The following is an 11,048-nucleotide window of genomic DNA, read 5'->3' as shown; positions in this document are numbered from 1 at the left end:
TAAGTGTTTTGTCATGTTTTTCAGAATTTAAGCAATACATGAACAAATGCACTCCTGCTAAAACATTTGCTTTCTGTGTACTCATTTGGCCTTCCACAGTCCCCGTTTTGTATTCCTGGTGAGCTGTCCAGATGCATATACCTTCCCTTTTTCACAAGGAGATGACCTTGAGGTTTCATCCAAACTCCTCATTTTGCAACTGAGTGTGCGAGGCTTTGTGACCATGTCTCCATTTTCATAGGACAGTCCCGGTTTGTCTGTTCTCCCAGTGTCCTGTCTGATTAGTGCTTCCTCTCATTCTCAGATACATCCTGGTCTGGACTGTAAATCACATGGCTTCCTTGCTCAGACAGGTCAAATCACAGGTCAGGCTCACAGAGCTGGTGAGAGGTGGAGGCAGGGATGAACACAGAGCTCCTGATTTCACTGGATTTGGTGAAATGCGACCCCTTCCCTCAGTGAGCTTCCAGCAACTTCTGCAAGAAAAGGCATTTCCCCACAAAGGTAGGTGGTCTCTGCAGAAGAATACCGGGGTTAGGGCCAGCCTAGATTCAGTTCTTACTTCTATCCGTCACTGGCTGTTGGCCTTTGGCAAGTCACTTAATTTCTCTGAGTCTGAGCTTCCTTATATATAAAAGGAGGTTAATAGTGCCTTCCTCAGAGAGTCAATGTTAGTATTAAATAAAGTGCTTAGCATAAATGCTCAGCACATAAACCCTATTTATAAGAAGACCAGCCAGATGGAATTCTAAGTTATGTAGGCCTCCAAGTGTTTGGAATCCTCTGATGTAGAAAATGAAATTTTTGATGTGTCCTGACCTCGAGGGTCAGGACCAGTCACCTTGGACAAGCCCATTCCCATTTTACAGATGCGCATTCCAAATGTCCCAGGGAAAGGTCTTTGTTTTAGGGATGCTGAAAGACGGAAAAGCTCTGAGTTGCTTGTTAGAGGTCAAAGTTGATGGACCAGTGGTTTGTTTCTCTCAGGCCAGTGTTATAGAGCCAGAGGCTCTTCCAGTGAGAAGGGAACTTGGAAGTGATATAGTGCCACTCTGGGCAGAAATCGTTGGGCAGCCTTGGGTAGCCAGAATCTATATTGTATTGCTCTGATCCTGCTGGGAATCAACCGCAAGTGGTCCTCTGGTCTGCTCCGTCATCCCTGGCTCTTCTCCTCTGCGTGCCCCGGCTGGGAAAAGTCTCAGAAAGGCCCTTCTGCCACATGTCACCTGGAGTGCTGCCTAGCTGGTTAGCAGCCTGGGTCAGCAGTGCTGGGTGCTCACTGCACACCCTCTGTGTCCCTGGCAATGACTGCAACTCTAGGTAAACATCCCTTCTGTTTCCTGGTGGGCAGTAGGGAGAAAATGGGTTTTAGGTTTTCACTTCTGAACTATGCAGGAAGAAGGAACAAAGGACCTGGATGAAAACAACAACAACAACAACAACAACAACAACAACAACAACAACACTTTTTTTAACTCTCCAAAATGGTATTTGGTCTGTTTGGAAATTTGAGCCTTAAGCTCTCACTCATTCTCAGCTCAGTAGAGAACAGAATTCAGAAGGGTTTGTGGGTAGGCTTGCTTCCCATTTCCCATGTTCTCTTTGCTTATAGTTTGAATGTGGTATCTCCTTCTGAGTCTTCTAAAAAAAGTAAATTATTCTAGGACAACAAAGGCATATTTGAAAGGGTGACATGCAGAACATGAACTGACATCACTGGACAAAACATTTGAGTCTATTCTGCTCTTGCGTTTACCACAACAATAATTTCCACCATTTAGTGACCATTTACCATGTGCCAGAAACTGTGCCTAAGTGCTTTAAGAGGATGATGTCATTTAATTTAATAAGAACTGAGTTTGGTGCTGCTATTATTTCCTTTATTCAAGTGGTTAAACTAAGGCTTGAAGCAATTAACTTGCCCAAAGTTTCCCAGCTAGATTCCAGAATATATGAGGCCAGATCTCTCACTATCAACAACCAAGTTACTATTTCTACGTTGCCTCGCCTCCCACTTCACCCCAGGAACCTACTGTGCGCCAGGCATTGTCCTAGAGAAGAGCTCGTTTGGTGGCAGGTTTTGACCATAGATTTCCATGGTCTGCTTGAAAAATTTTTGTCCAATCTGATTGACACCTCCCTCTTCCTCTGCTTCCTTTCTTTCTTCTTTTTTTTTTTTGAGACAGAGTCTTGCTCTCTGCCCAGGCTGGAGTGCAGTGGTGCAATCTCGGCTCACTGCAAGCTCCGCCTCCCGGGTTCACGCCATTCTCCTGCCTCAGCCTCCCGAGTAGCTGGGACTACAGGAGCCCACCGCCACGCCCGGCTAATTTTTTTGTATTTTTAGTAGAGATGGGGTTTCACCGTGTTAGCCAGGATGGTCTCGATTTCCTGACCTCGTGATCCTCCCGCCTCGGCCTCCCAAAGTGCTGGGATTACAGGCGTGAGCCACCACGTCCGGCCCCTTTCTTTCTTCTAGAGGAAGAAAGTCCCAAATACCTGGTGGTTGCCATATCTCCTAGCCTATGTGGTCAACATTTAATTACATTAGCATTTGTTTCCACTAAAAAAGTAATCACATTACTGCCTCTCATGTCACATTAGTGAAAATGGATACCAATATGATACATATTAATAGAATATGATGGGAAATTGCTAATACAATTAGACTTTCACGTTTTATTAGTTCTGGAGTGACACTATGCCGAAGAACAGCTCACCTTAGTGGCGATGAGGAAAAACGTGGAAAGTAGTGGATGTCTTCCTATTTCGAATGGACTGAGCAGGATCTCAGGGGTCCTGGGGGCATCCATGGGGTCCCATGATCCGTTTCTGGGCCCCACTTCCTGCTCCTTCCTGTAACGTGAGCACCTTTTGGATTTGGGCTGGGAGAGGAGTTCCTCCTTCACAGCCAGGCTGTGTTGCCTGAATTGTGGTCATTAAAGTATCATGTAACATGATCCTGCTTGGGTGGCCCCAGATCAGATAGAATTAATATTTCATTATCCCTTCTGTGGCTAGTGCTAGCAGAGAGGGGGACAAGGCAGGAAAAATGTCCCCAGGGCCCTTCCCAACGCTCACCGTCAGTTCCCTGATAGGCCACTGCATTTGGCTGGGTGCCCCAGGAGTGACATTTGGTTGCTTTGTGTTCCTAGGGGTCTCCACCTTCCATCCTTCTCTTCCTGCCCACCCCCTTCTTTCCACTCGCCCAAGTGATGGTGAAAAGCCTCTTTACTGCATCGCTGGTGACCATCTGTAGGTGTGTTGTCGAGGAGCTTCTGTAGTTCACGTTCAGTCCTGGTCGATTGTCTGCCGCCATATTGGATCTTACTCCTGTGACTTTGTCTCCTCACGTCCTCTACTTGAAATGCTCTGTACAAACCCACTTGTCTTTCCAGGCCCATTTCAAATTCTCTTTCTTCCATGAAACCTTCCCTTTCTACTCCAAGTCGATGTTACCCCTGAATTAAACATATACTGCATATCTCCTTATGTGTTCTCATGGGACTACCTTAATAAGTTACAGTGGCTTTGTTCAAAACAAAAAAAATGATTCTAAACTCTGAGAACAAAGCAGACAAGGCCTGGTGAGGTGAACATTAGACGTGGGAGGAAATGAGGGTATCAGAAGTAAGCTGGCGTTCGTGTGGGCGGCACTTTGGGCTGACGGGAGCATGGGGTGCGGTGCAGTCTGGGAAGTACAGACCAGGACTCACAGAGGAGCACGGCTCCTGCTTCCTTCCCTCTGTAACTCATCTCCTGGTATTTGATTTTATCTCTCCCTGGCACATGGTCCAGAACTCGGGATCTTGAACGGAAAGCCAGTGATGCTACAATTGGGAAGAAAAACTGTGGCAATTAAGGAAGACATCTATTGCCTTGACAAGGATTCATTTTGTGGGGAGGAGTTGGGGAAAAGAGATAAAGGTGGGACGAGGACAACCCGTCTTGTAAATAATAGGTAATTTACTTGGGAGAAAGCTATACGTTGTGGATAGTAAAAAGAGAACTTACAGCCTCAGAGCTGTCAGCCAACCTAAATCAATATGGCAGCAGGGATTTTATTTGCCAGCTCTTTCATGTTCTTCTACTGGGAGGGCCACCAGTGGAAGCTCTGGAGAGAGCAGGGAGAGGCAGCAGATGGGCAACATGCACTACAGAACACAGGAAGGTGCATGGCTAGGGGCACGATCACGGTTCTGGGAATTGGGCAAACTGAGTCTACACGTAGGAGTTGTCAACAGAAGAACAAGGGAAGGGTGCTGCATCAGGTTATGGGTAAGTCCCCTTTCCATTCTGGAATTCTGCAACTCCACCGAAGAGGGGGTATACCAAGTGTCAAATGAGAGACTTTGAAACTCAGTCCTGGTGTGGAGTTCTGGGAGCAGGTAGGCTATGGGTGAGTACTGGTAGGATCTAGACGGATAGGGTGAGAGTAGAGTGGGAGGGCCAGGGAGTGCCCTCAGAGCAGGAGAAAGGGCACAAGCAGAGGCGGTGGCAGGAACTCCCAGCAGGGTACGGGGGATTGTGAATAAGAGGGCTTTTTATAGGGAGGATGAATTGCAAGGCTGGGGTCAGATGGTGGACAGCATGGGATTGGCAGCCTAAAATGTGTGTGTTTGACTCTGTAGGTCAAAGGAAGTCAGTGAAGGCAAACTGTTTCTCACTTGGAGCTTGCCTCACTGTGATAGCTCACGAGGGACTCCCAGGAAGGCAGCAAACTCTGTGCAGTCCATTCTCCAGGCCTGGAGTGCTAGTGGACGATCCTGATGTCAAAGTAGGGGGGCCCTGTGGGAGGCGAGCGTGAAGGAAGCCATCCAGGGGTGGGGAGAAGCTGAGTGAGTGGGTTTGCTAACCAGGTTTCAAAGTGGAGAGAAGGGTGAGGGTGTATCAGGGACCTCTTTTAAAATTTATATCCAGTCTGCCACTTAGAGGTACCTCTTAGAGGCACAATCCAGGTGTCTTGGTGGCCTTCCTCTCTTGTTTCTTTCCTTGGCCTCTTAAGAACACGCACACCTGGGCGCGCAGTGGCTCACACCTGTAATTCTAGCACTTTGGGAGGCTGAGGTGGGCAGATCACCAAGGTCAGGAGTTCGAGACCAGCCAGGCCAAAATGGCAAAACCTTGTCTCTACTAAAAATACAAAAATTAGCTGGGGGTGGTGGCACTTGCCTGTAATCCCAGCTACCCGGGAGGCTGAGGCAGGAGAATCGCTGGAACCCGGAAGGTGGAGGCTGCAGTGAGACAAGATCACCCCACTGCACTCCAGCCTGGGTGACAGAGCGAGACTCTGTCTCAAAAAACAAAAAGAAAAACAAAACACACACACACATACGCGCAACTTGAAGGTGACTGTGGATGCCTGCCTGACTTAGGCTGAGTCCTGAAAAATCCCACACAAAGTGAAAGTAAAATTGAGGCAATTGTCAATTACTTAATGAACCTAATGTGTTCTGACCCAGTGTTCTGGGGCAAGGAGTTCTGGCCACACAATGTCTGCAAGGTGGGGACAGTTTATTACCATTGTATCGTCACTGTCGCCATCGCAAGAGGACAACCCTGCATCAGACAGGCCATTGACCAGTGCAGTTCCCTTTGATTTGTTCTCCTTCTTCCCAGCATATTTCCTGAACATACATGTAAAATAGGTGTTTGTAAGTTCCGTGAATTACATATTGAAATTGTTATCACTGCTAAGTCCACTATAACAAACAATACTGATTATAGAGCAGGAATATATTTTGTAATTATAATGTTCTTCAAACTTCTCTGATTGACACACAGCATATTTAAACAGGGATGATCAAAAATTATGTGCACAGTGCGGTCCTTATCTTCCCTTGGGCAGCACAAAAGCTCTCCTCAGTAGGTAACAGCCACCAGCCAGCCTTTGAGCAGCTGTGTCGAGATGGATTCAGTTCCTTTGCTGAGGGGGGGTTGTGGGGGAAGACACCCCTGCTTTTAAATCAAAGACAATTCAGTTTGGAGAAAGGTGTACCTTCTGGAAATAAATAAAAGGAGGTGCAGTGTATTGTCAGCTGGCCGTCTTAAACCAATAATGCAGGCAGTCTGTCTTGCATGCCCATTCTGTTATGAGGGGGAGGAGCACCTGCCTATAGGCTGGTCCCTAAATAAAAGCCCTCGTCGGGAGATGTCCAGGGGTGCAAGTGAGTCTTGCTCTGCTCTTCAAGGCCTCTCCAGAGCCAGGCTGGCAGCGTGCCTGCCAGGGGTCTGAGGATGTTAATGTCCTTTACCTCCAGATCACATCAATCTGCGTCCATTATTTTGCCAGGCAGGGACACCTGGACGGGAGGCTCTATTTTCTTTGAATGGCCTCTGGCTTATAAAACAAAACCAGCAAAGAGCACGTAATCCCTTTGAGTATTCTTCTGGTGTGCCTAATGGGAGTTTTTGAGTGCCAGGTACTGTGAGAAGACTCTTGGTTGAAAAAAAAAAAAAGGTAAAAAAAAAAAAAAGGAAGGCAGCATTTTTTTAATCATCTTTTTTTTTACAAAGTGGTGACATTCAGTCTTGAATCAAAGGGAACAGTTTCCAGGTAGAAAAGTCTCGTGTTTGTTTCCTGTCAGCTACCAACTACCAGCATGTTTTCCCTCCAAACTTTGTGCAAAATCAACTTACCTTGATTTAAGCCACAAAGAAAAAGACTTGGGGGTTGGAAGGGTGGGAAAGGGGGAAGCTTTTAAGAGATTATCCTTTTGGAGTCTTGATAGATTAAGAGGGTGATCAAACTTGGCAGCATCTTAATAATAGGGCCACGTGAATTTTGGCCAGGCTAATGGAAGCTCTTTTGTCAATTTCCTGTAACCGTGCTTGACAGGACTCAGGAAATGGCACGACTGGCCCACCTTTGATACCTAGAAAGGGCTTAATGAGATTTAAAGGTGCAGCACCATGACTGGAGTTTCCCACATTAGGTGTAAGTTACACAAAAAGTCCTTCTATGTACCAGTCCCTTGCTGGCTTTGTCGCCTGCCTGCCACAATTCAGAATGTGTTTTTTCTATAGAAGTAACAGCTGAAAGCCGGGCGGCTGAGTTTCCGAACAGAAATTGTTTTTCTAAGAAGACCCCCTTTTTTTCTTTGGTTCCATTCAGAGCTGTGTCTCTGAAATATTATCTATCATAAAAAACATGACATGAATTTACTATGGCAGTCAGCTGCAATTTTTAAATACATTCATTAGGTTAGTGAGTAACATCTTCCCTTCCCAAAGAGACAGGGATGAAGAGCGGGAACATCAGACTGTTATGTCTTGGGGGTAGATAAGGAGGGGTGTGGGCGAGGCCATGCCAGCACATGTGAGCCCAGATGGGGCCCACACGTTTCTGATGGAATATTTGAGCTGGAAGTATTTAACATGAAAGATCCTGCCTCCAGGACCACTCTGTAAGCCGGAAAGGGGCTGGGAGTCATGATGTGTCCACGTATGTTTGCTATGTCAGACTGAGGGTGGAGCTGCCCAGACAGGGTGTGGGGGTTACAAAGTCAGTCTTGCTAGCCTTCTGACTGTGGCTCTTCGGGGGACCTCGAGGCAAGCTAAAAGGTTTGTCTCTGGCAGCTATCCTGGTTAGGCTGTGCTGGAATAGAATAGACCGCACTTAAAGTGAGTGAGAAGTGTTCTTAGAATCCTGTTCATTTTGTTACCTGTCTGACCTGTGGGCATTGGGCCTGGTTCCCTGCGTGCAGGAAGCTCCTCTGCCGGCCAAAAGGCTAGAGATCTTGCACCACACCACCTTCTAAGCATGACTCAGCTCCGTGGGAAGCTGCCAGCCAAGACTTGAATGACCTTCCTGAGCTCGTTTTGAATTCTGGCCCTTTTACTAAGGGTTAAAGATGAACTTGACATTACCATGTCTCTTGCCCATGCTAAGTAAAACCTGAACAAATGACCCCGAACTTCTCCAGTCGGGTGGCCATGGCGCCCTGCCTTGTGTCCAAGAATGAGACTGAGAATGGTGCTTCCAACTTCCAAATTGGGCAGCAAAATGTTTACATTCCCCAAACGAATCAAGGCCTGAACTTCCTAGAAGCCAAGCTGACAAGCACATGGATTGATATTTAAAGGGGGCAAAGCTCCTAGGAATATTTAAAATGGACTTTCATGATATGCAGCATCCATATTTTAGTTTAGAATTGCCCACGGATGCACTTAAGGAATCAATGAGAATGAGTGAAACGGATAGGCCTTGTGAGAGTTCAAGTTTTTCTGTTTTACCTCATCTGCCTTATAAGAATGGATGGTTTCTCTTTTTTCTGTCTTATGCTTGTGATTTATAAATATCAGACCCCCTTTTGCCATCATTGGCCTGGCATCAGCCAACATTTCTCCTAAGTAACCTGGGTTTTCCTTCTGTGGTATTCAAGGTACCACTTGGGAGAAATCAAATATAAACTGATCTATTTTATAGCTAGGCGTGTGTTTTAAAATACTACCTGTTTAAAATATTTGCAAATAGAAGCTATTGAAATGCTCACAAATGGCTCCTAAAAATGTGCAAAGGGCCAGGTAAAGTTGGAGGTTGCACATTCAGGAGACCCAGGAGGAAGCTGGCTGATGTGGTTTTGGGCCAGAGGCTGCTGGTTGCACCAGCTGTGATGAAGAAGCAGCACATGAGCTTGGCTTAAATGCCAGTGCCACAATTTAGTAACTGTGTGACTTTGAAAAATCACTTGTTCCTTTCTGAATGGTGGTGCCCTTAGCTATGAAGTGGAGATAATACCAACCTTATAAAATTGCTTTGAGAGACTCTCACATTTTTGACCATGAACCACAGTAAGAAATACAGTTTACATCATGAGCCGGCACAAACAACTACATACGTGCACTTGTAAAATGAAAACAAACATTTCATAAAACAATTTTAACCTATAGTCTAAAAATGCTCCCTGATAGTTTCTATTATATTGTGTTTTTTCATTGGATATGGTGATTGCAACCCACTACATTGATTTTATGACCAAGGAATGGGTTGCATCACAGTTTGACAAACACTGTAGGCACTTAATAAATGTCCATTCCCTTAATATGTTGAAGAGCCAGATTTCTTACTAATTAGGATATAAGTTACACTGCAGAAGCAAACCCTGACACACCTGTGGCATGATACTGTGAAGCTTTATTTCTTGCTTTTGTCAAGTTCGGTGTGGGTTGGGCAGCATTTCAAGGCAGCGCTGTTCTGTGTGGGATCCAGGTAGCTTCCATCTTATCACTTCGTTGTTTCCGCATGTGGCTTCCACAGTTGCAACTAAGGGAAAAAGAGGGATGGAATGTCTCATGGATGCTCTTAAGGATTAGGTCTGAAAATGGGTATATCACCACTGCTAAACTCTAATGGCCAGAACTAAGCCACATGGCCCTAACCCAACTGCAAGGGGGATGGGGACATATGGTCTTCCTATGTGCACAGGAGAAGGAAAGTGTCAGGTGGTCATAAGGAATGATATAAACCACATACAGTAGTATTTAGGCAGGACCCAGGGTAGGTCTTTGACACACTTTGCGATCAAGTAATGAAGACACAGAACTGGTCTAATTTGAGTCATTGTTGCCCAATCACAAAGGAACAGACTAAATTAATGACTTCATGGGGCCTTTTTATGCTTTATTATATGCCACTCCCATGATTCTGAAGTTTCACAGACTTATGGTTAAAGATAGAGTTTTCTACAACTATTGTAAACTTACCTATTGCTTGATCTTGGAGCTCAAGGGTAACATCCTTACAGGACAATGGAATAGGACCGAAAGTTCTATTTCAAGTTGGTGAGCCCAGAGTGTGCATATATAATAACAAACTGATAATGACAGTGAACATTTATTGAGTGCTTACTGTGTACTAGACAATGAGCTAAGCAGTTCACAAGCTTTGTCTCAATTCATCATCATCATAACATTATTAGACAGACTCTTAGACATCTTAGTCCTCTTTAAGATAATCTATTCTGCTACCCTCACTTCAAAAGTGAAAAAGAGTGGAAGTTCAGAGAGATCAAGTGATTTTCCCAGGGTTGCACAGCAAATTAGTGTTTATGCTAGGATCAAAAGCCAAGATCTGGCATTCCCTCTGAAAAGGACATATGAGGGACACACTGGTCGTTTTAGTGGCCTTAGCAAAGTTAATTGAATCTTCAACTTTAGGGTTTTCAGTTTTACCCACGTGTACACCAGAAATGCTAATCTGTGCTATGATAGAATGGCCAAAACTCCATGACTACTATTAAAGTTTAAACTGGTCATGTTAGGTAGAAATAACCAAAGTTTTCTCAGTCAATTCAGGTATAGACTGGGTAACTTACACTCTTACTCTCAACTTCAGCTAGAAACATTAAGTCTAGATTGTAGTAAAAGATCCTCATTCATGATTTCTATTTGTTTTCAAATAAGTCTGCATGCTGTCTTCTTATTGCCAAGAAGTCCTTGGTTACTACCAGTACTGAAAAGAAAAATTGGAATTTGCCAAAAGAAAGCAAATGTGATACTGATTCTGATAGGATAGAGGGAGCTGGTTTAAGCCACAGTTTAATGGGTGTAAGCTTAAGGAAGAACTTTCTAGTGACAAAGTTGTTAAGCTCTCCTAGAGGTGACTGAGGAGGGTTCTAGCACATCTCTCTTTGGAGGTCTGAAAAGATGCTTTTCCAGACCAGCGCAAATCACAGATGTTGACTAATCGTCTTCCAAGGAATATATAAAGATCATTTTATAATTTTATGAAATCGGTTTATCGTAGTTGTTCAGTGTAGCACATATCTTCATAAAAAGTTACAGAAAATTATACTCTGCGCAGTGTGTGTACATGTATGCAAACAATTTGTACACACATGGCCCAGATCCAAGTATCCTTTAGAATGCCTTCCCGAGAAGGGCCAAAGGGCCTGGATGTTTATAGTGAGGGGTTCCTAGCCTGGCTTGGTTGGAATTTGCAGTCTTATTGTCTGCATGTGCATTTGCAGCTAAGATGAGAAATTCTCTATCTAACATCCTCCACACATTTATATTTTTTGGATCAAGAAAAGGGCAAAAAAGTTACTACT

Source organism: Homo sapiens, chromosome 2 (assembly GCF_000001405.40).
Source record: "Homo sapiens chromosome 2, GRCh38.p14 Primary Assembly".
NCBI lineage: Eukaryota > Metazoa > Chordata > Mammalia > Primates > Hominidae > Homo > Homo sapiens.
Note: the sequence above shows the minus strand (reverse complement) of the source record.